This window comes from Homo sapiens, chromosome 8, assembly GCF_000001405.40.
Source record: "Homo sapiens chromosome 8, GRCh38.p14 Primary Assembly".
NCBI classification, from domain to species: Eukaryota; Metazoa; Chordata; class Mammalia; order Primates; family Hominidae; genus Homo; species Homo sapiens.
This window is the reverse complement of record NC_000008.11, coordinates 40,094,800-40,120,477: the sequence shown is the minus strand read 5'-3', so window position 1 is coordinate 40,120,477 and position 25,678 is coordinate 40,094,800. Positions and strand designations below refer to the sequence as shown.

Below are 25,678 nucleotides of genomic sequence, written 5' to 3'. Positions count from 1 at the left end.
GCACTTGACTACCAATCTCCCATGAGAAAAATAAACAAACCCTATGTTGCTTAAGCCATTGAGTTCGGGGTTTTTGACACTAGCAGACAAGTACAATTCCTAACCAACAGACCTAGGGATGATGCCCTTGACTGGTGTTCAGGAGCATTTATTAGGTCCCTGTGTGGATTATACTCAAGTTTTTCAGCTTTTCCTAGAAAAGAAGAGTGCCATGTTGTAACATAGAAAGTGAGACATACACGTGGTGGCTCACGCCTGTAATCCCAGCACTTTGGGAGGCCGAGGCAGATGGATCATGAGGTCAGGAGTTTGAGACCAGCCTGAGCAACATGGTGAAATGCCGTCTCTACCAAAAATTAAAAATCAGCCGGGCTTGGTGGTGCCCACCTGTAATCCCAGCTACTCAAGAGGCTGAGGCAGGAGAATCACTTGAACCCTAGAGGTGGAGGTTGCAGTGAGCTGAGATCGTGGCATTGCACTCCATCCTGGGTGACAGAGCAAGACTCTGTCTGAAAAAAAAAAAAGAAAGAAAAGAAAGTGAGACTTAACATCTGTCATTCATTTAAGGTAGATACCCTGACTTAAACTTATTCTCCTCCTCTCTGTATGTTGATGAGAATAGTGTAGAGTACATGACATTGGGCTGACACTGCTTGGATTGGTAGGTTTTCACGGCTGTTGTTGAGTAGTGATGAATGATGGCATTGAGTCCATAGAAGTATGAATTTTAAAATATAATTTTCTCCTCTTTTGTATGCTGGGTTTAAAAATAGAAGAATTCATGTGAAAACTATGGTCCATGCATTTCTTTTAAAGAGGTGAATTTCCAGGTTTTAGGTTTATATTTTATTTGAGTAACCATGTCTAAAATGTCCTGTGTAAACAGGCATTTAAGCAATCCAGGGCATGGCCTCCAGATAAAATTTAGTTCACTCATAAGGAATTATGTCTGCCTTTGGAGCAGATCACCAGTTCTTCCAGGTGTTACTTTCCATTTCCTTATCATTTTACCCAGCTTCAGAAAGACTGGCCTGAGTTAAAACTTTTTGCCTTCATTTTGGTTGACAGCAGACCCCTCCCGTTTACTGAAAAGAGTGTTGCAGATTTCCTGTTTAACAGATGATGGTGAAGAGGGGGCAGAGCGTGAGGCGTCAGTGATCCTACCTATGAAAAGAAGGCACATGCTTTGCTAAAAAAGGATAAAGATGAAAGGTCTCTAAGTGGCTGTGTATTCATCCATTGTTTAGTGCAGGAGACGCTGACTCACTGTGCTGACAGCCAGGGGAAATCCTGTATTTCCCTCTCTGGGACTTTTGGATTCAGCTTGCTTAAGAGAGGCAAGCACTTTATTGTTCTGCTGGAGCCTTGGTGCCACTATTCCAGACATACTCGTGTCAAGTTTCAGGTGGCTTCTATAAATCATGTCATTGGAAGTTAGGGAGGTGGCTTTTTCCTCTTCTGTTGTTTGGACATACAAGCGTGGTACGTGTATGCATCTTCCCACTCACCTGAACTATGGGGCCAGGTCTTCATGGGAGCATCCTCCTATGGCCACTTGTCATTTTCAAGGAAAGTGAATCCCAGCCTTTTCATCATATTAGAATAACTCCACGTAATTGCTAAGTGTGTATGTCATCAAATTAAGAAAATACTGTATAAGTCATCCACGATTTACAATATCATGCACTCAACAGTATTCTTATCCATTTACAGGGAGAAAAAAACATTTAAAATATGGTATCTGTCTTAAATAAATGACAACCAACTTGAGAACTATATGGCATAGAACTTGCATAATTTCTCGTTCATATAAACGAAACTGAAGACCATGAAGGACTTAGACTGTAAGCCACACAGACTATAGTTAAGAAAGTATTGGCCGGGTGTGGTGGCTCACGCCTGTAATCCCAGCACTTTGGGAGGCCGAGGCGGGTGGATCACGAGGTCAAGAGATAGACACCATCCTGTCTAACACAGTGAAACCCCGTCTCTACTAAAAATTCAAAAAATTAGCCGGCGTGGTAGCAGGCGCCTGTAGTCCCAGCTACTCGAGAGGCTGAGGCAGGAGAACGGCGTGAACCCGGGAGGTGGAGGTTGCAGTGAGCCGAGAGCCCGCCACTGTACTCCAGCCTGGGCGACAGAACGAGACAAAAATTAGCTGGGCGTGGTGGCACATGCCTGTAGTCCCAGCTACTCCGGAGGCTGAGGCAGGAGAATCGCTTGAACCCGGGAGGCAGAGGTTGCAGTGAACCAAGATCACGCCACTGCACTCCAGCCTGGCAGCAGAGTGAGACTCTGTCTCAAAAAAAAAGGAAAAGTATTCACCAAGAAGGGGATGAGTGACTTGGGGGGGTTAATGTTTATGTAGCCTTTAAATTAGAAAGGGGAAAAAGTCAATTCTAGCAAGAAACAGCATGTGTAAAACCTTGGAATCGAGCTAAATACATGTTGGCAGAGAAGAGTAAATTAAAAATCTTGTCTTAAAAAAAGAGAATTTGTTGCATTTTAAGAGCTGTAAAAGGATTTGTAAAATATTAAGAGATTTTAAGAGAACTGGTAGCATTTTAAGAATTAAGTTAGGCAACATGATGGAAGGTGTTTGAGCTTGATGACTGGGAAACACAAAATCTTCAGATACACTCAGGGATTCAGTGAAAACAATGTTTGAGAAGAAAAACTTTGGCAAGTGTTCATGACTATTGATATAATGCTTACAAAATGAATAATAAAATTAAAATTTAACGTAGGGATGTTTAAAATTACTTGAAAGGAAAAACTGTTTACTTACATTAAAGATTTAATGGACAATTATGATGCTTTATCCAAATTACAGAATAAGAAAACTGGTAAGACAAAAGAAATAATTTCATTCAATCTTCTAACACTTCTAATGGAGAATTTCCTCTAGGCTGTTGACTACAGTATGTGATCTATTATCTTAACTAATGAACACTGGCGTAGACAGCCTGATGCAGGTCACATGACTTTAAAACATTACATCATTGGCCGGGTGCTGTGGCTCATGCCTGTAATCCCAGCACTTTGGAAGGCAGAGGCGGGTAGATCACCTGAGGTTGGGAGTTCAAGACCAGCCTGACCAACATGGAGAAACTTCATCTCTGCTAAAAATACAAAATTAGCCGGGCGTGGTGACGCATGCCTATAATCCCAGCTACTCGGGAGGCTGAGGCAGGATAATTCACTTGAACCCGGGAGACAGAGGTTGTGGTGAGCCGGGATCGCACCATTGCACTCCAGCCTGGATAATATAAGTGAAACTCTGTCTCAAAAAAAAAAAAAAAAAAAAAAAAGGCCGTGCAGGGTGGCACGTGCCTGTAATCCCAGCTACTCGGGAGGCTGAGGCAGGAGAATTGCTTGAATGTGGGAGGCAGAGGTTGCAGTGAGCTGAGATCACGCCACTGCACTCCAACCTGAGTGACAGAGTGAGATTCTGTCTCAAAAAAAAAAAAAAAAAAAAAAATCCATCATTCAGAATGAAGCTAGGTTTCTACTAATTGCTACAAATTAGTGAGGGTTTAAACAGTTGGAGTAAACAAACTGCTGTGATGTTCAAGGTTATAGTGAGTTGGCAAACCTGTGCAGATAGAGATGGCATTAAAAGGGCTATTGTAATAAACTGAGATTGTTGCTCATGTCCATTGCATATAATTTACTTTCCAATTCAGCTCCTCTGAACAACAATTTGAACTTGGAAATTATTTTTGCAGAAAGTCCAATTTTTTCATAGATTTAAAATCAGTTTATTCAAGTTATTTTTCTTGCCCTCTATTTTTCCTACCCTCTTTATTTTTCTTTGTCATATTATTGCCTATTTCTTCAGGCTCAATGAGCTCTCCTTTAGCTCATGTAAAATTGGATGGATTTAATCTTTCTTATTTGGCACCTTGGTTATTTCCCATGATGCTTCTCCCGGGTGAGATCTGACTCTCATCCGTCATTTTGGGAGGAATCTAATATTAAAGAATCTTCCAGTATTCATCTCTTGGGGCTTGTGGATGTTACTCAGGGATGTCTGTCAGAATTCTGGCATGCAAAGTGACAGCCAGTAGGTTCAACTTTGATAATTTTTATTTTCTTGCTATATGAAATAGCTTTATCCAAGGGTTTTAACTGTAAAACACAGTCATCTGAGTAATAAGCAGGTCAAATCTTTGGATATAGTATCTCTCAGTTTCTAGAAGGGAAATTTCATTCTTCATTTAAGGAATGTTTGGGCTATGTGTGAGCTTTTAGTTTCCAAGTTTTCAATTTGCATGTTCTCTTTATCATTTGCATATAATTTATATATTGCAGGGTCTTGTTCTCACATCACAGTTTTAAGATGAAAAGATTTCATAATCATTAAGTGTCTCTCACTGACATGATTTTAATTACCAGTGCTATAACAGGGTAGGCCTCAGTTCAGGAAAGAGGACCTGGGAAACACAGACAAGAATGACCTCTTCATTGCCGAGAAAAAACTACAGCTTGCTTTATTTCAGACTTTTAATATACCTTATATTCCCTTGAATTCGAGAAGTAATTTTTCTGTTGTATTTCACAACGTGTTCTGATATGTTTACCAACCAGGAAGCTCCACCAAACTTCAGGGTCCACAGTTATTAAGGTTTCATTACACAGGCACAATTGGTTGAATCACTGGCCACGTCTTTGGACTCAATCTCCAGTCCCCTCTTTTCCACCGAGGCTGGGAGATTGTGCTGACATGTAAGTGTGGTCCCAGAGATCCATTGTGAATAACAAAGGCACTCTTATCATTTAGAAAATTCCAAGAATTTAGAGTCTCCCTTCCAGGAACCAGGGACAAAGACCAGTCAAATTATTTATTATACAACCGAGTTTAATAAATGTAGCTAGTTTTATTAATGTTATTATACCTTTGAGTATCATAACAACTTTGTGAGGCGGAGAGAGATAACTTTGTGAGGCAGAGAGAGTTTTTCCTATAAATGTTGACACTGTGTTTTTTAGTGATGAGACAAAAAGGGCAGATGGGAACATATGTTCCATTGAAGATAAAATTTCTGACACTCAGAAAAATTAAATACCTGAAGAAAGTAAAGAAGAACATCAAGTGTTTCACACATTTTCGACTTTCAGGCTTGTAAGCAAAAGAGTGAAAGGGTTAACTATAACATATTCTCTAAGTTAAGTCACATAAGAATACATACTTAAATTCTGTTCAAATTATGTATAACAACTATCAAAAAATGACTTCTGTGAAAAAGCAGATTAACTTTCATTCTTAGAAGAACAGATAGATGGAAGGTAAGCTGGAACCCTCCAAAAGACAAGATACAGATATCTGGCATATGCTGTTTACAACCATTATCATTGCCTGGTGGCGACTAAGGAAAATGAACTTCTGTCAAATGCTTTGAATTTTGCTGCATCAGTGTAGGTTCGATTTACCTCATATTCCTCCCAGAGAAGCAATAACAGATTTAAAAAGATTACATTAGCATTTTTATACCTTTATAGCAGTGGGGTAGGTGATGACTTTGCATCTTTTTAAACAAAAATAAACATATTTAAAGTGTTCTGCTACAGTTATGAAATGTAGGAGTCTCATGGTTTACTTACCCATTCCAGCTGGCTCCTGACTCGGCAAAAGAGCAAAGTAAGAAACCCGACTGGCTTCACCAATAGCAGGGTTTGAAGAGGAAGATTAATTAACAGGTCGTTGAGAAGGGAAATTAAGAAAGCCTCTCTTGCCGGGCACAATGGCTCACGCCTGTAATCCCAACACTTTAGGAGGCCTGGGACGGGCAGATCACTTGAGGTCAGGAGTTCAAGACCAGCCTGGCCAACATGATGAAACCCCTTCTCTACTACAAATACAAAATTAGCCGGGTGTGGCACGCGCCTGTAATCCCAGCTACTCGGGAGGTTGAGACGGGAGAATTGCTTGAACCCAGGAGGCGGGGGTTGCAGTGAGTCCAGATCATGCCACTGCACTCCAGCCTGGGGACAGAGTGAAGACTCTGTCTCAAAAAAAAGAAAGGAAGGAAGGAAGAAGAAAGGAAGGAAGGAAGGAAGGAAGGAAGAAGAAAGGAAGGAAGGAAGGAAGACAGGCAGGCAGGCAAGCTTCTCTTCTGATTTCCTTCCTTCAGACAGTTCAACAATTTGGTAACATTTTACATATGAGACAACTATGGCCAAAAATGAAGTCATTTGATCAAGGCTCAGTGGTAGATCCTGTGTAAATAAGAATACTACAAAAACGAAACCCCAAAGTCAATGAGTTTACAACGTTTCCAAGCAATCCACCTACTTTATATGACGGTATAAATGATAGAGGCTGTTAAGAAATTATTTACAAGAAAACTGTGGCTTCACCCAAAAAGAAGTAGTTATTTTAGCATTCAGAGTTATCTATTTTGTATAACATTTAAGTAGACACTTTGCTTGTCAGATTCCTTGTGTCGGATTGGCATGATTTAATGGGATGATTATCTTAAAGTTTTAAGAGAAATTGGTCCCTCTGTGGTGTTGGAAACTCTGTTAATATAATGTGTCAGGCTCATAAACCATCAGCGGGGACTGTTTGGTTACTATGCAACTCCAGGAGACATTGTTTTCTTCTGTTGTTTCTCGCAGAAAAGACTGCAGAGAAGGGTTGAACATAAGGACAGAGACAGATGCAAACCAATGCACAGGCACCAGAACTCTTCCATTTCTGGGTAAAGGAAAAGATAAAATAAATTCCAACCATGAGCAACGTAATTGGTTGCCTTTATGGTATAAATATGGAGTCCTCAAAGGGACCTCCATTTGGTAAGATCTGGTTTCTGTAGAGTTCTCTCCCAGCATCGGTTATTTCACCATGCACAGTTTGTGAGACCTATTTGTGACCCAGGTCCTTGTCGGTAAAGCCCAAGATTTCATATTGGGAACATATAAGATGGGCAGTGATTGATATTTGTAATGTATAAAGAACTGTTAAATAAAAAGATGAATATCTAACAGAAAAAGGGGTGAATGGTATTGAAGCAGCTATGTTGTCTGAGATATATGCCCTGGGGTTCGTTGTTGCCTGCCAGGAAAATTTAGGACATGGACACACACGAAGAGTTTAGGAGTGGAGGTTTAATAGGCAGAAGAGAAGAGAAGGAGATAGAGTAAGGGGTCTCCAAGTGGAAAGGACCAGATAGTAGCAGATGCACGGGATTTTATAGTCGAGCTTGAGGAGGTGGTGTCTGATTTACACAGGGCTGACAGATTGGTTCAATCAGGTATGATGTTTACATAGCATGCGAGGAAGGCTGGTCACCCCACCCTAATCTTATATTATGCAAATGGACTTTCCAGTTGATCCGGGCCATCTTGTTTGCTCCTTATAGTACAAGTGACTGACAAAAGGAAGGGAAGATGGAGCTGCCATCTACAACATGTCTAGTCCTTAGTTCCTGCTGGCATTCACCGTGCAAGCTCTCAGCTTGCTTGTCTATGTCTGCAGATTGACTTTACAGGCTGCTCTTTGTTAGACAATGATTTGGGGCTGCTTTTCATTAAAAAGGAAAGGCTTATGTAGGACTCCCATACCCTTACTATCTGCCTACAAGATTTCTTAACCCTGTATTAATATGTAACAAGCAACTTAAAAAAGGAGAAATGCAAATAGCCAATAAAAATTTTGGAAAAGTGTTCAACATCACTAGCAATCAAATAAATGTGATTGGTAAAATATTTAGCAATTTTTATTTACCCAATTGACAAGTATATAAAAATGATGCAATCTTCATTTAATGTCAGGAGGCTGGTCCATGACTGCATGAAAGCCTTCCCTTGCCCCCTCTCTTTCATTTGGACTCTCACTGGGGTGAGGAGTAGGCATCAAGAGATCAGGATACCCCATGAGTTTCTCCCTGCCAGCAAGACTGTGTCTCTGCAAAAGGCATGAGCCATTTCAAGCTGCAGCATGCTCTTCAGTTCTGCGCTGCAGAAACCACTCTATTCTTTAGCTCCTTCTTTCCTTATAGTAACAATTGGACAGCAATATGATAATAAACTTGAGTAATTTTTTTAAGTTTTATATTTTTGAAACAGAAATTGTACTTTGAAGAATTTATATTACATAAGAGATATGCAAAGATGCTGTTGAAAATGAGTGTTCATTGCAGTGAAAACTGGAAACAATGTAACCTTTTAACTATATGAAAATTCTTAAATTATAAGACACCTTTATGATGAAATATTTATTATACAGTGATCAACATCATCTTCTCCAAGTATAATTAGCCTATGGACATATGTTCATGATATATTAAGAACAAAAGGAAGATTTCAAAACTGAAGTATGATTCCTAGTAGGTATAAAAGATGTTATACATTAAAAAATTACTGGAAGCATAAGCTAAAATTTTAATACCAGGTATCTCTAGGTATGGAAACACATTTAATTTCTTTGTTTTTCTTTATTCTTTTATTTTTCTATTTCTTATGTGAAACGCAAATAACCTTTAGAGTCAGAGAAGACAACAAATGTTATTTTCCCAAAAGAAATTAGAGGCAGGGTGGATAGAAAGATCTTTAATCTAAGAAGGAAATTAATAGCCTTTCATCTTTAACATTTTGAGATTCTTTTTTTGGAAAGAAAGTATGTTCACACATGGTCACACTTTAGTCAGTTAATGGGGATTTATTTTGCATATCATCTTAGTCCCATGTGGCATGCCTCTAAACTAAATAGATGTGAGGAAATAAACATTTTGATTGGAATAAAATTGAGTCCAAAATTTTAGGAGGCCTTGGATGCTTACTAAAGAAGAGCATGGACTCTCACTACTAGCCTGAAGCTGACTCTATAGTAGTAGCAGAAAAGACACCTTTTCCATTATTCTTTCTAAACTTTGAGTGCAGAGTTTTCACAGACATTTTCTGGGGCAGCATTTCTCCAGATTTTAAAACAATACTCACAGAAATAAGCCCATTTTATGTAGCAACCCAGTACACAAGTACAGGTGAAAGCAGGCACACATGCACACACACAAACACACACACATACACACACAAGTACAGGTGAACACAGGCACACACACACACCCCACTCAAGGACAGGTGAACGCAGGCACACACACACATTCCCCCACACAAGTGACAAAAAAGTTTCAAACGCACACACACACACATAAACTTACCACCCTTACCACATATTGACACTTTTATAAACCACTTCATTTTTATAAAAACATGATTATAATAGTCTAGAACTTTTCATTGTGAAGGAAGCTCAAAAAATCATAAACACGAAAGAATAGAAATAAGCACTAGAGATGGAGGAAGATCAAGTTACCAAAGTGGGGAAGACTGATTGAGGTGAGTGAAAAAAAGAGCTTGAACTTTTATTCATATTAATTTATTATTTCAAGGTCGAATTATGTGTCCTTTAAAATAATGCATATATTAGAACTGCACATGCATATAATTTATAAACATATGACTAAACATAGACCAGAAAACTATGCTTAATTTTTTTTTTCTTCAGAGGCTCTGTGATCAAAAATTTTGGAGAACATGGATTTGGATTATAGGTGCAAGAAGAGTTGAGAGTAAAAGACATTTCTGGGGATATGTCATTAACAAAGTTCCCCAGAAAATAATATAATCTGATATGGGCCTTAAAAGATGGGTACTCTCTGGCCAGACATATGTTAAAAGATGCCATGTAGCAGTTTTGTATTCAGAGGATCAGGTTGCAGGACAAGGGGCAGAGGGGTCTTTGGAGGATCTCAAGAGAGGTGGGAATCAGATATTAAATTAAAACAAACAACATAGGAAAATAAGTGAGATGGATCAGCCAGTCTCCCTTCCTTTTGAAGATACTAGGGCTAGGGATGTTTTCTGAAGCTCCTCTGTTACTGATGCCTTAGAAGCTGTGATGGATGGCTTCCATGGACTCCTCCAGATTTATTCCCCACTCATACCCACCTGCTTAATGGCCCAGGAGGCTGGTCTATGGCTGCATGGAAGGCTTCCCTTGCCCTCTCTCATTCATTTGGACTCTCACTGGGGTGAGGAGTAGGCATCAAGAGATCAAGGCACCCCATGAGTCTTTCCCTGCCAGCAAGACTGTGTCTCTGCAAAAGGCTACGAGCCATTTCAGGCTGTGCTGTGCTCCTCAGGTCTGGGCTGCGGAAGCCACTCTATTTTTTTTTTTTTTTTTTTTTGAAACGGAGTCTTGCTCTGTCACCCAGGCTGGAGTGCAGTCGCGGCATCTCGGCTCACTGCAAGCTCCGCCTCCCAGGTTCATGCCATTCTTCTGCCTCAGCCTCCTGAGTAGCTGGGACTACAGGCGCCCGCCACCACGCCCAGCTAATTTTTTTGTATTTTTAGTAGAGACGGGGTTTCACTGTGTTACCCGGGATGGTCTCGATCTCCTGACCTCATGATCTGCCAGCCTCGGCCTCCCAAAGTACTGGGATTACAGGTGTAAGCCACTGCACCCGGCCAGAAGCCACTCTATTCTTTACCCCTTTCATAGCAGGATGGTATGGCTTCTCCTCCACTGCTAGCCCAGGGATAATATATGATTTTTCTATTGATTTCCCTAAATTCTGTTCAGACCTCTAAAACAAACAAACAAAAGATTTCTATTAAAAATTATCCTCAAAATGTGAATGTGCTATCTATTTCTTGCTGGAACCCTGACTGATATAGATGCAAAATAGGTGGGATTGGATGTCTAGAAGGCGGAATGTGGCACAACTGTGGTCTGAGCACTTGGAGAAAAAGCCAGCACACAAAGAGAGGTAGATGTTAGATGGGAATGCCAATAAGAGTTTTATCAGGCCGCTTCCAGAAATAATCTTACGCAGAAGAGGCCTGAGGAAGCAAGTGCATCCTGAGGTTTCACAACCCAGCCCAAGAAGAGAACAATGAAAGGGAAGTACACTCAGGGGATTTCTTAGGTTCTGCGAATGGTCAATACCTTAATCTGGCAGTCAAGGTACAGGTGTTCATTTTATTGTTTACTCTTGTGATTATACACAAAGATTTTATACACTCTTCTGTACTCAAGATGTATTTCAAAATAAAATGAATGGCGAAGGGGAAGAGTGAATGATGGTGGGCATGGTGAACAATGTCCCACGGGATTCTGTCAATACAGTGTTCAATATGTTTTACATACTATTTCATCTCTTATTTAATTTCATATTAGGATTGTAAGGCAGAACTCATCATCTTTTGTTTCAGATATTCCCAGGGATGTAGGAAAGTGGTACACGCTAGCAGTCAATATTTTATGGGACAATTTAATCAGAACAAAAATTGTGAAAGACTGCCCAGATTATTGAGCCTCATTTTGCAAAAAAAAAAAAAAAAAAAAACCTTGCTTGCCGTCTCAAATCAATTTGTGAACCAAGAGTGGTTTTAATAAGTAATTATTATCTTCTAAAAAGAGTCTTTAATCACTTACAGGAAATGTTAAAGTGCAGTTGATGCAACATCAAGACTCCTGCCAGCTTGGGAAACAACCTTAAAATCTAGCTTTAAAATATTTACCATATTTTTGTCATTCTGGCTTTCAAAAGCGAAGAAAAAATTCAGTTTATCTCAGTTATCACAACAACGTGGGATGCTTATAAAAACCAAAGCAGGATGAAGTTTGGCGTTATATCTGGTTTCTAAACAGAAACTTCCCCAGTACATATGTGCATAGAGTCCCCTTGAGATTGACCTAGCAATGGAGATTAGTTTCGGGGATAAAAACAGAAAAGTGTTTGTGATACTCATTCCCTACTGAGAAAATAAATGAGTAAAGACATTATTATTAAACAGCTTTTGAATTAGATTTTTTTTCCTCCAACAACTCACATTATTGTGGTTAGTTTCATTTTTAAGTCAATGCAAATTCAGATGCGAGGAAGGAAATGCTTTATTCATATGAAATTTCTGCCGTGATTTATACACGAAAGCTTCAGGCAAAAAGTAAGATGAAATCAGTTTACTCCCTATTTAGATTTATTTTCTACAGCTTTTAAGTAAAATTCCTTCTTACTGGTTAATGAGTTTAAAGCCACCCCAAGCCCTGAGAAAATCATGAGAGAAGTGTTCTACTACTTGGACTAAGTCCCATCCTATTATCAAAGATGCTTAGGCAAAAGGTTCTAGAGTCTCAGCAGCAAAGATATAAGAAACTAGCCAAGACGAGTCTACCAAAACACACAGAGTGTATAGTCTGACTTGATTTCTGCGGTGGGCTACTAAATTAAAAAGTAGAAGCAATTGGACAGGGTTGGATATTTGACAGCCTTGAAAACTACACTGAAAACTTAGCAGTTTTCACTTACCAAAAGTAAATCATCATATGTTCTTGAGAAATAGAATAATTCAATACAGGTAGTATTTCAAGAGAATTAGTCTGACTGCAGTGTACCAGTTGAATCGTATGCAGAGAGGACAAACTTTTGGAGTAACTCACAACTGCAGCATTGTTCTGAAAATGTTCAATACCTTAATCTGGCAGTCAATTCACTGGTGTTCATTTTGTTGTTTACTCTTGTAATTAGACACATGAATTTTATACTCTCTTTTGTGCACATGCTGTATTTCAAAATTACAGACCTGTGACCTGAAAGGAGAGATGGACAGGGAGATCACTTGAATGGTAATTTCAAAGAAAGAAGAAGATTTTGAGGGAAATACAGACATATAAAAGAAGGAGTTGGAAAAATAAAATATAATCATAAAGGTTCTGTCCTTCAAGATTGAGAAGATGGTAGTAAGAGCAAGACCACTGGGAATGAATTTGTAATCTGAGTATGGGTTCGGGTGAGGAGACCAGTTTGATTTAGGCATGTTAAGTTTCTGATGACATGCAACATTCAGCTAGATGTATTTGGTGAGTACTATGAGTGGAATGGTACAATCTATGTAAAAATATTGATATATTGATAGTGGCTAATTCTCCAAGGGAATTAGAATGAACAAGAAGAGCAGAGGGGATTATGAAGACCTGTAGTGAAAGAGAAAAATGTGTCATGAAGGCAGAGTGAAGGAAAAGGAAGAGAAATAGGAGGAGAAGCAGGATGATGCAATGTTATGGAAACAGGTAGAAGAGCTTCAAGAAGTAGATGGATACCAGAGTCAAACATTTCACCGATGTCAAAGATGGATGTGGAATTTGAGAATAAGCCCCCTTGGATGGAGCAGCTGAATTTAATGGGGTGGTCAGGGTGAAAGTCAGAGCATAGCAGTTGAAGGTAGATTGAAGACAGGCGGCGAAATGAAGATGTTGAATGCAGGTCACAGTAAGAAATGAGCAGAGGCAAGGAGAAACTGGGGGTGTAAAAATATGATTACAGTTATAGAGCAAGCAGTGTCAACTAAAAAAATGGGTTTTTTGTTTTTGTTTATTTATTTATTTTGGGGGGGCTTGAGATTGTTGGGGCATGGGAAGACTTTTGGACCTGAGGTCAGGGGCTACATATTTCCAAATAGAGTACTATCATGTCTTAAGGTGCTGTGATGAGCCTGGATAATGAGTCCAGTGCCAAGGGTTGGTTTGGGGTTTTATATTTGTGGCTTGAAACGTGAGTTTCAAAGACCAGCTTTCGTTAATAAAAAGGAGAAAGAAGAAATGTTAAAATGCTTTTATGTACTCAGTCTATAAAAGACAACCTCACAGCCCCCTCCTTAGTGGTCAGAAACCAGTATCTTCAGAACCCACTTTCTTCCTGCTCCAACTGTGAGGATAGACTAGAACCAGATGTGTCTTGACCTTCTCAAAACCTACACACAGGCAGGAGGCCATAACATACTGTTCAAATACAGCCCACATGTGGCTAATACAGGATCTCATTTTCCATGATGTACCCAACAGACTGGGGCACAGCCAGCTGCAAAGGCCTGAGGCTAGAATCTGACAAAGAACACATTCCACTGGGAGGAAAGGCTGTGCTGTGCCCAGATTAGTCCCAGAGTGGCCACTCTTCTACACGGAGATGCTTCACTTTAGGCTTAAGCCATGTAGGAGAAATCCGACACATAATTTTGACCCTTTTCAGTATCCTTAGAACAAATGGAAGAAATGAAGATGGGTTTCTGAAAGGTCAACTTTCAGAAACTGGAAAAGTTTTAGTTTTGTTTTTGTTTTTCCAAAACTCAAACAATAGTTTGAGTTTTGGAAGCTCTTGCTTACTTCCTATGCAGTTCAGTTCCACCATCCAGATTATCTCTCATTGGGAATTTTATCTTTTTAATTCAGCTTTGACATTTTACTTAATTTGTTTCCATTGTTCCTTTTAGGCCACCCTGAACAAATTTTTCTTTTATTTTTCAAGCTCTCTCTCTCTCAGACACATACACACACACACACACACACACACACACACACACACACACACATACACCACTCTTTTTCTCTCTCTCTCTTTGTTCTTACAGGACTTAGGTAATGTTTTATTTTCACCTTCCAGTTTCAGTTCAATGAATGTGTACTGAATACCAACTGCGCACTAAGCAGTCATTTGTTCTCGTTTTATTTTGAAAATAGCTATATTGCTTTTGGGAAAAAAAATCATAAAGGGTTTCTGTTGACATATATAAAGAAGAAAAATTCAAGAAAATATTTCCAATCCCACCATCCAAATGCCATTCAATATTAACCATAGGTTAGTTATTAATTATCCCTTCTTGCATATTTATAAAAATGGATATATATATATGTTTATAATTTTTCCAAATAGAATCATATACCTGTTTTATGAACAGTTTCTTTTACTCAATATGCCATGAATATTTTTCTGGTCAAAAATGTATCATTACATCCTCATTTTTAATACAGTCATCCATCACATAATGATGTTTTGGTCAATGACAGATTACATTTATGAAGGTAGTCCCGTAAAATTATGGTAGAGTTGTAAACATTTCTGTCACCTACTGACCATGTAGCTGTTATAAGATTGTAGAGCAATGCATTACTCATGTGTTTGTGGTGATGCTGGTACCGCCAGTTGTGTAAAACTCCAGCACATACCATCATGTACAGTGTGTAATGTTTGGTAATGATAATAAATGACTATGTTACTGGCTTATGCATTTACTGTTCTATACATTTTATTGTTATGTTAGGGCATACTCCTTCTATGTGCAAAAAGTTTGAGGCAAGTCCTTCAAAACGGATTTCAGAAAAAGGCATTGCTATCACAAGAGATGACAGCTTCATGCGTGTTATTGCCCCTAAAGACCTTCCCGTGGGACAAGGTGTGGAGGTGGAAGACAGTGATATTGATGATCCTGACCTTGTGTAGGCCTAGGCTAATGTGTGTGTTTGTGTCTTAGTTTTTAACAAAAATGTTTAACAAGTAAAAAATCAAAATAAAAAATTAAAATAGAAAGCTTATAAAATAAGGATATAAAGAAAGAAAGCATTTTTGTACAGCTCTGCAATGTGTTTATGTTTTAAGCTGAGTGTTATTACGAAAAAGTTAAATAAAATTTAAAAGTTCATGAAGTAAAAATGTAAGCTAAGGTTAATTTATTATTATTATTACTTAAGATTTTTTTTTGCCCATGACACAGCCCCAGGAGGCCCTGAGAATATGTGCCCATAGTTAACTTATCATTGAGGAAATAAAATTTTAAAAATAATTTAGTGTAGCCGAAGCACACAGTGTTTGTAACATCTATGGTAGGGTATTGGAGTGTCCTAGACCTTCACATTCACTCACTCATTCGCTCACTCACTCACCCAGAGCAACTTCCAGTCCTGCAAGTTCCGTTCGTAGTAAGTGTCCTATACATAGACAATTTGTGTATTTTAGATAAACAAATACTTACCATTGTATTACAATTACCTATAGTATTAAGTAAAGAAACATGCCGTACAGGTTTGTAGCTTGGGAACAATAGGCTATACCTTATAACCAAGGTGTGTAGTAGGCCATGCTATGCAGGTTTGTGTAAGTACACTCTGATGTTTGCACAAGGATAAAATCACCCATTAATACGTTTCTCAGAACATAGCCCTATTGTTGGGTAACATGTGACTGTAGTTGCACCACATCACATGATAAACATACATGGTAATTTTCTTAACTAATCTCCCAGTGATGGTCATCTAAGTTATTGTGATTTTTTTTCTATTCAAGCTTCTATAAGTAACCTTATGCACATATAGTTTTTCATTTGTTCCCCTAAGTGCTTACTGTTTGTTGGTAGGTCAAGAGGTCTTTTCCCCAGCTGCTTCATCTGCCTACTCCAGGTTGACTGCAGGCTTGAGAGTGATCTTTAAATACATGAAGAACTTTCAAGGAAGCCACATTTTTTTTGTGTTGCTCCCAGAAAATGAGATCAAAGGATGGAAGTCACATGTTGGCAGATTTGGGCTCAACACACAGAAGTAAATAAGTAATATAGATGAACAAGTGTGCTGAGAGTTGCATAGTATAATAATTGTTAAACAAATACCATTATTATGGTGTAATAATGGAAGAAATTGCTTCATCACTTGGTGAATTTCTAGGTCTTTACTCTGCTTGTCTGAAGCTGGGTGAATAACTTTTAGCAATTACAAAGCATTTTTGTCCTAGGTGGAACTTTGAATAGATTGACCTCTTATTTATTAGGCTCCTAAAAGTTTCTAAGATTCCATGACGGGGCTAAAATCAACTTGGGTTTTAACCTCAACATCACCTCCCCAAGTCCTCCATAAATGCCCCAAAGTATTTATGCCTTAATAAGAGACTTATGAAAGACTTAATTTTGGCAGATTCTTGGCAGGTAGGCAGAGAGAGATATTTGGGGTCAGAGAGCCTTTCAGGGCCCCCATTAAATCACAACTTTTATAATTACCTATTTATAAGAGAAGTTTCCAACTCAAAGGTCATGGGTCTCAAATAAGACAACTCCCCCTACCCCCTTCTCTTGCCCACATCCAGAGTTTCAGCCTATACCATTTGCTAGGTTTGGGGTCACTGCATGGATGAAAAAGAAATAGCAATAAGAAGAAACATGAACATCCCTGTAGTGCCTTATATCCCCAGTTGTAAATCATGAAAAGATATCATATGCTAGACATCAAAGCAACGTAAATCATGTAAATCAAGGTTGTCAGTCAAAAGCACAGGCAACATGGACACCCTGTTTTGAGAATTAATTTCTCCCACAGCCTCAAGAACATCCACCCTTCCAAGGAACCATCCCTGTCCCGCTCTCAGAAGCTGGGCCCAGCCAACATGCAGGAAAAGTCTCAATTGCAATGTTTTCAGCCAGGTTCAAACAAGTAAATTAAGGGAAAGTAGTATTATCTCACCAAATAAGAAAGGCCTCATTGTTGCCGAGTGAAGATCTGTACCCGAAAATTTATTATTTAACAAGATAGAATCATTCTCAAATAAACTTTTGACTTTTTAATAAAGAAACAGTGGTCTCAAATAAGGAGCAAAATGCATATATTTTTCCAGGTGGGGAAATAACATTCCCCAGTGTAGCCCTCTATTGGCCTCTGATCCATTCTTGGAAGAATATGCTGAAATAAAAATGAAATAATGTATGTGCCAATGATTTGAAGAGGTAAAGATTGTCCATGTTTAGCAATGACTGTGGTGGTGATCTTCACCTCTGTCCTGCATAGGGAAAGCTTAAGAAAAGGAAAGATCCCCAAGAACAGAACAGGTTGGCATTTGCCTGCAGCTCTTGTTTCCTTTTTAAAGTGTGCCTGGCCTGGTGCAGTGGCTCACACTTGTGATCCCAGCAATTTGGGAGGCCAAGGCGGGCAGATTGCTCAAGCCTGGGAGTTAGAGACCAGCCTGGGCAACATGGTGAAAATCAGTTTTTCCAAAAAAAAAAAAAAATAATTAGCCCAGCACAGTGGCTTGCCCCTACTAGTGCCAGCTATTTGGGAGGCTAAGATGGGAGGATTGCTTAAGCCTGGGAGGTGGAGGTTGCAGTGAGCTGAGATCGCGCCACTGCACTTCAGCCTGGACAACAGGAGTGAGATACTGTCTCAAAAAAAAAAAAAATATGTCTTACCTTCAGCTAGTGTATGAGTCTCTTTTCAAAATATTTATAGTGGTTTTCTGTAGCCTAAGGCTGGTGCTTTTTATTTGGAATGCTCTTACCTCAAGGATTCTTAGAAATATCGGGGGGTACTTAAAGCTCTAATTAAAGCTCTAAGAAAAGACATATCCTGCAGCTTGGATTTTTCTGGAAGTTTCAATGAAAGAAAATCATAATTGTTATAGAACAACTAAAATAAATAAGATGCAATAGAATGCAACATTCATGGACATTAGTTTAGCTTTAAAAATAATCCATTATACATTGTTAGATAAAACTTTAAAATTTTTGCAGTCAAATGAGACAATATTCCTATCTCCCTTAGGGAAATTTTTGAGAAGCATTAACCTAAAAGCAGAGCACAGACTCCCAGCCTGGTATTTAAAATCCCTCATAATGTGGTCTCAATATTCCTCTTTGAACTTTTTCCACAAGCCTCTTATCTGAAATCTGAATTCCCCCTGGCATGTCCTCAACCTCGTGATCCTCCAGGTGTCCCACAAAATGCCTAGTTCAGTTTTCCCTCCTAGAATGTTCCTTCCTCTCCTTCTTCCTCTCCCTCACTTCTGATTTCCAGAGTTCAGCTCAGGCAAACTCTTCCAGAATCCCCAAATATCTTAGTAATCATTGTTTCCTCTCTACCACATTTACAGTTTCTCTTATGTTATTTGCCATTCATAGCAAAATACATTCCTTGGTTAAAAAAAAAAATACAATGTATTGTTTTAATTGTATTGTTTATCTTTCCGACTTAGACCAAATATTCCCAGAAAGGGGGAATTTTAATATTCTTTGTAACTCCTGACAAGTGTCAAGCTCATGGCAACAGATTACAATATGTGGACAGCATTTTAGAGGTCATGGAATTTTGATTTCTAATTTCGTGGATAGAAAAATTGATCAGTGGAAAAACAAATAGGAAAAAAGAAAGAAAACCTGGAGGAAATGACAAAACAGTGAGTTATACTGGGTCATTCTTCTTTTTACTTTTGTGAAGATCAATTTACATACAGGTTTTGGGAAATTAATTGAGAAAGGGGGACAGGGAAAGAGAGAAGGAGATATTTTCACTCTAGCCTGTAGCACATAGATTAGGTCAGATATAAGGAATTCTGTCTGATGGAAAGGACAGATCTGGCCCCTGATCTTTCGTGTTGATCTGAAGGAGGTCAGCATTTCCCGAAGCAGGAGAAACAGCATTTTTGTGATCTTCCTCATCTACACCAAGCACTAGCTTGGTCTTCATGTTAGCGTGGGTTTATTTTAGCATTCACCCATTCACATGCAACACCATAAACCCCAAGCCAATCTTCTGAAAAGTTATTTGCACTCTTTTTCACCATTTTTATATCACCACTGAATTGGTGTGTTTGAGTGTGCCAAGCCTCTTTCTTTATTGTGATGTCATTGGAGGGGTCTGGTGAAGGGTGAGCTTTGAAAAAAAAATGCAAATGGTGGAGCTAACAAATGAGACTTGTGGTTCCTAGTGCATAATTTGAGAGGGCAGGTAAGATAGGACTTCTGTATTTATATTCTCTTAAGAGCATACATTTATATTATTATATGAATTGATATATGCACCGTACATTTATTAACTCATTTTATTCTCATATCAACCCTAGGTGATAAGTATCGTTGTAATCAGAAACTGGGGACAGAAAGTTTACAGCTCACCCAAGTAATCCAGCTTACTAGGTGTCAGTACCAGTATTTGAAAACAGAAATTCCAGATTCAGAGTCTGTGTTTTCATCTACTACACTGCAGTGCCTCTCAAGGGAGACATTTAATTTAGAAGTAAAATTAATTTAGAAATAATTTTAATATATAAAAGAAGTTTAAGGCAGTGAAATTTACAATGGTGGACTCATACTCCATTATGACTTAAATTATTTCTAGGATCTGGATTGATCATGATTATATATGCAACTTTAGAAAACTTACAGAGAAAAAGTGCAGTTGTCAAAGCAATGAACAGTTCAAACATTTACCTAACTCAAAATGTGAACACTACTTGCTAGCCCAAGAAGCCAATGTGATGAAGACTGTATGGAAAGATATGACATTCATCAATGAGAGACCTCAGATACTCATCTACAGGTGAAGCCCTGCCTATGTTGAAACATCAAATATAAAATTCACTTCTAAGTGACTCAGACTGACACACATTTATCCTTACCTTTCCTGTAAGAGAGGTTCTTGAGAAAGGAGGGTGAGTAACGTGGTGAAAGTTATGTTTGCAGAATATTTGGTATACAGAACAGATAGAAGATAAGTGAAGGCAAAGACCAGGAAAAGGAGAAACCCATTAGGAGACTACACCAGTAATTCAGGGAAGGCGTGGCAGTCTCACGAAATGCAGTAAGCATGCCATGAAACACTCATTGGAAATCTATGACTGAGTAGAAACGAAAGGTGAAAGATGGACAAATAGCAAAGGACTGCACGGTTTGCAGTCAGGGTGGTAGAGATAATGGAAGTGTCAGTGAGAGATATGAGCTGAGGGGAGCTGTAGTGGAATGGGATTTATGAGGGCAGGGACTACCCCCAGTGCTTGACACCTAATAAATCCACAACAGATGCTGAGTAAGAGTTTGTAATTTTAGTCTTGGGAAAGAGGAATTACTCTTAGAGGAAGGTGATGGGCTGACTCAGTCTTGTAAAATGACTTTGAGTCCAGGATGCTGTGTTCGTTTGCTGGGCTGCCACAACAAACTACCATAGTTTGGATGGTTTGAACAACATCAACTCATGTTCTCACAATTGTGGAGTGTAGTTCAACACCAACGTGGTGCCAGGGTTGATTTCTTCTGCCGTCTCTCTCCTCAGCTTGCAGGTGGCCATCTTCTCCCTTTGTCCTCACTTAACCTTCTCTTTATGTGTGTCTATGTCCTAATCTCTCTTTATAAAGATATGTATCATACTGGATTAGGTCTCACCCATACGACCTCATTTTACCTTAATGACAACTTAAAAGACTGAATCTCCAAATAGATTCTGAGGTACAGGTGTATAGTACTTCAACATATGAATCTTGGAGAGACATAATTCCACCCATAACAGATGGTATTCACATGCATATCCTGTAAGCAACTGGAAATGTAGGATTATAGCATGGAAAACAGGCCCAAGCTGATGAGAGGGACTTGAAGAATTTAGTGTAGATGATGCAGTCGTGAGACATACTGTGTTTTGCATAGCAACTTGCCCTGAATAGAAAAAAATAAAAAGAACAAATATGGGAGTTTCTCAGATAAGAACTGGGGAGTGACTGAATCTAGGTGGGACCAGGAAATAATAAAAAGAATAGAGCTAAGTCATGACTATAATCACAATTCCAACAGTGCTAATCTAGAGGATCTCCCAACTCCCGTCCCCACTGAGTGGGGTTTAGGGCAATTGCTCAACTGAGCCACATCATTTTGTGTCTCAGGCAAACACTCACATGGTAAACTGATTTGGTGAGTCCCCAGACTACAAGAGATATTTTAGGTTTGTGATTGTCACCCTAATTCTTTTTTTTTTTTTTTTTTTTGAGACAGAGTCTCACTCTTATTGCCCAGGCTGGAGTGCAGTGGTGCAATCTCGGCTCACAGCAACCTCCGTGTCCCGGGTTCAAGCGATTCTCGTGCCTCAGCCCCTCAAGTAGCTGGGATTACAGGCACATGCCACCAAGCCTGGCTAATTTTTTTTTTTGTATTTTTAGTAGAGATGGGGTTTCACCACGTTGGTCAGGCTGGTCTCAAACTCCTGACCTCAAGTGATCCACCCGCTTCGGCCTCCAAAAGTGCTGGGATTACAGGCGTGAACCACTGTGCCCAGCCCCCTAATTCTTGCTAGGCCAAGTTTGGCATTACATTCTCCAAAGAAAAATGTATATTCACAGCTGAATTTACTATATTTTAGACAAAGGAAGCTCACTGTCTCTTCAATTCCCACTTTCCTCTCTACTCTCACTTTCATCTCTACTCTAATACTACATTGGTGTGGTTGCATCCACAGGGTAGATGTTACCAGTAGTGTTCTCCTAACTCTAGGATTTGTCCTAAATCATAGCTATTATGGTGCTGATGTTATAAAGGTAAATCAACGGAGTGATAAATTGGCTTCACAAAGAGGAAGAAAAAAGTCATCTGTAGCTGCATTTTACTACCAGGAAATGTCATAACAATTCTTTTCAAAATAGGATGATGTGAGTCAGAATGCAGTGTGGAAATTAAATATAATAACTCTATAAAGGCTTCTCCTTACACTTAAATAGATACCTTCAAACCTGGCTTACCAAGCTTTGCATAATCTGGCCATGCTGAACTCTCTAGCCCAGTTTCTCAGCACTTCATCGTCATTCTCTTTTTATCATGCAAATCCTCACCCCTGCCCATCCCACCTCACTGACTTCTACCATTTGCAAGACCTCAGCTCAAATATGATGCCATAATTGAAGTTCACACCAGGTTGGGTCCTGATAGATCCTTTTATTATTTTTATTATATCCTCATATTATTTTTTCTTCATAATACTTATTAAATATGACTAATTGATATCTATCCACTTCCCAAGACTGGAAGCTCTATAAGGTGCCGACATCACATCCTCTTTATTTGCACTCTACATTTAGTGTCTAGAATAGTGCTGGATCAAAGCAGTCATGAAATCAGTATTCATTTAATTAGTGCATGTATTTATTAGTAGGTATTTGACTGGTCTTTTCAGCACCTCGAGTTTGTTTGTATGTTTGTTTTAATAGCAAGTAGTATGGTATGATAGAAAGATCGCAGGTTGTAGAATTAGACACATCCGAGTTTAAATGGAGTTGTCACATTTTATTTGTCTAGAGTCAGATGAAAGAGCTATCAGTTACTAATGTTCAGTTCTCTTCTTCTTTGATCTTTCAATTGAACACTCACTTTTACTTGAAAATGTTCCCCTCACTTTGTGGTATCACTTTCTTATGATTCTCTTTCTAACCCTCTGAACACTTCCTCATTTTTTTTCCTTTGTCCCCAGAGTACTATTCTCTATCTTTTCCTCATTGTTGCACACTTTTTAAAAAATATGGCTCCTATTTCCTCTCATGATTTCAACAGTCCAAACCTGTTTTTTTTCAGCTATCTCATTAATATCTCACCTCTTTAATCCCAAGCACTTTGGGTGGCTTAGGAGGGAGGATCATTTAAGGCCAGGAGTTCAAGACCAGCCTGCACAACATAGTGAGATCCCATCTCTACAAAAATATTTAAAATTATCTGAGTGCAATGGCATGCACCTATAATCCCAGCTATTCAGGAGGCTGAGGTGGGAGGATCACTCAAGCCCAGGAGTTCAAGGCTGCAGTGAGCTATGATTGTGCCACTGTATTCCAGCCTGGGTAACAGAGCGAGATCCTGTCTCCAAGAAAAAAAAAATAAGTAAATATATATATATATATATATATATATATATATATATATATATATTTGAATAAGAACTTATTCTGTGAATGTGCAATCTATAATATACAACTGCATATACCTCCTATTGCAAGAACAACTTATGTTTCACTGAATGACCTCAGAGATCAGAGATTCCTTCTAGTCCATTCACAGGACTCTGAATTTAAATACAGTATTCTTCAATTAGAGATTCAGAAGAATGAAATCCATAGAAAGGGAAATCTGCACCCTAAAAATAACTCCAAAAGAAAGTGCAGATATTGGGGTATAAAATATGTTATCCAGACATATTTCTGTGCTGACAAAGGCATATCCGCACTGAATAAAACAATCTAAAATGGCATAATCTTCCTTAAGAGGGAGGATAAAGATTTGACTGAGAAGGATCCAGTGAAAATCAAACCTGCCATTCATCAAAGAGAAATAATTTTTCTTTGTGTTTAAATAGACTCTGCTAAATCAAGATATTTTCTTTGATAAAATTTATTAGCTACATTTTGAGAATCATATTAAGAGCTTTTAAGAGTGATCCACAGATTATGCAGAAATATGTTTTTAGGTTACTGTGCAGCCCAAGAATACAAGAAATATAAAAATCAATCAGTCCATAATTGTGGAAGGTACAATTGGCCATCAAGGCTTACTCTTCAAGATATTTTTGCATGACAACTTTCTCATGTCATCTCTGAAATCAGTTGCTGCTTAGATACCTGGAGACTAGTTGAGTAAAAATATTAGTTTCTTCACAGATCTTCTAAACACTAGCATCTAACAGTTATAACATGGCCAAATGTTAGGAAAACAATTGTCTTCAGAGTTAAATTTTAACTTGTTTTTCCCTAAATACAGAAAGAAAAAAAAAGAGAGAAGTACTGAAAATATTTTGTATACAAACATTGACTTAAATCATGTATCAGTTGTCCAGCAGGCTTAAATATCCGAAATTTAAAAGCCAAGTCTCTAAGTGACTATGAAGTTGGTGCCTGCAGTGAGACTGATCCACCTGACCTACAGACAAACTCTTTAGGTATTTATTCAAGCCCATTTACAGTTATTTTATACTATTTTCAATAGGTTTTCATAGTTGATAGCTGAGCCAACATCAGTTTAAAATATAGGAATTAGAATATAGAAACAGGCAGGCCTTACTTTCTGCACTGATACAAAGCATTTGCAACTCTTTGGCAAAAGAAAGAAAAACTAAACAAATGAGAAATATCTCAAAGAACACAGAACATTTGATTTTGAGGGAAGGGTGAGGAATCTTACACAACAAAATAGGCCTTGAGGAAATAATGTATTATAAACAGAAAAAAAAAAAAAAACACCAGCTGATTCTTGATAAGACACCAAGAAAAATTAAATTTAGAATATTCAGTGAAGAAGAGTCCAAATTTTCCATTTAAAATGGATATGAGTTTTGTGGCCAGGCGCAGTGGCTCATGCTTGTAACCCCAGCATTTTGGGAGGCTGAGGCTGGTGGATCACCTGAGTTCAGGAGTTCAAGACCAGCCTGACCAACCCCATCTCTACTAAAAATACAAAAAATAGCTGGCATGGTGGCACATGCTTGTAATCCCAGCTACTTGGGAGGCTGAGGCAGGAGAATCGCTTGAACCTGGGAGGCAGAGGTTGCAGTAAGTCAAGATCGTGCCACTGCACTCCTGACTGGGCAACAGAGTGAGACCCTGTCTCTAACATTAGAATAGAATAGAATAGAATAGAATAGAATAGAATAGAATAGAATAGAATAGAATAGAATAGAATAGAATAGAACAGAACAGAACAGAATAGAAAAACGAGTTTTGGTGTTTAAAGAAGCTTTTGGCTATTCATAAAGTTTGATTGTGCTAGTGATGTTCTACTTTCTCTCATCTTCAAGTCCACCCTCTGTTGCCTGCTATGTGATGCTGGCGCTGGAGACTCCCTTGCCATTTTGCTTCTGATTCGTTCCTGGCAAGGGGAGGCACCAGGAGGCAGGAAGGAGGAAGGAGGAATGCAAACTGTCCTGTTTTGCATCGCCCATTATTTCTCCAGCAGAGACACACAGATGGTTCTAGCCTACAGGTTCTCTCAGCTCTCTCCTCACCTGCCTCAGCTGAACCTTCCCTGAATTTCCAATCCACAAAACAGTGAGCAAAATAAAATGGCTGTCGTTTTGTACTACGAAGCTTTAGGACAACTTCTGATGCAGCAATAAGAGCCAGAATCATGGACTTCT

At 38.8% G+C, this 25,678-nt stretch overlaps 1 long non-coding RNA gene across 5 annotated transcripts in view; it reads right to left on the bottom strand.

The window, feature by feature from the left end:
* LINC02866 (long intergenic non-protein coding RNA 2866) overlaps positions 1-16,408 on the bottom strand; it is a 69,001-nt gene extending 52,593 nt beyond the window's left edge. For 3 of the 5 annotated variants that reach the window (NR_186439.1, NR_186438.1, NR_186441.1), the window contains exon 1: positions 16,176-16,408. This is a non-coding gene — a long non-coding RNA (long intergenic non-protein coding RNA 2866). Of the gene's footprint in view, positions 1-5,604; positions 5,850-12,477; positions 12,596-16,175 lie in introns of those variants that run through there. The other 2 variants (NR_186440.1, NR_186442.1) reach the window with 2 other exon arrangements.
* Positions 16,409-25,678: the final 9,270 nt, after the last annotated feature.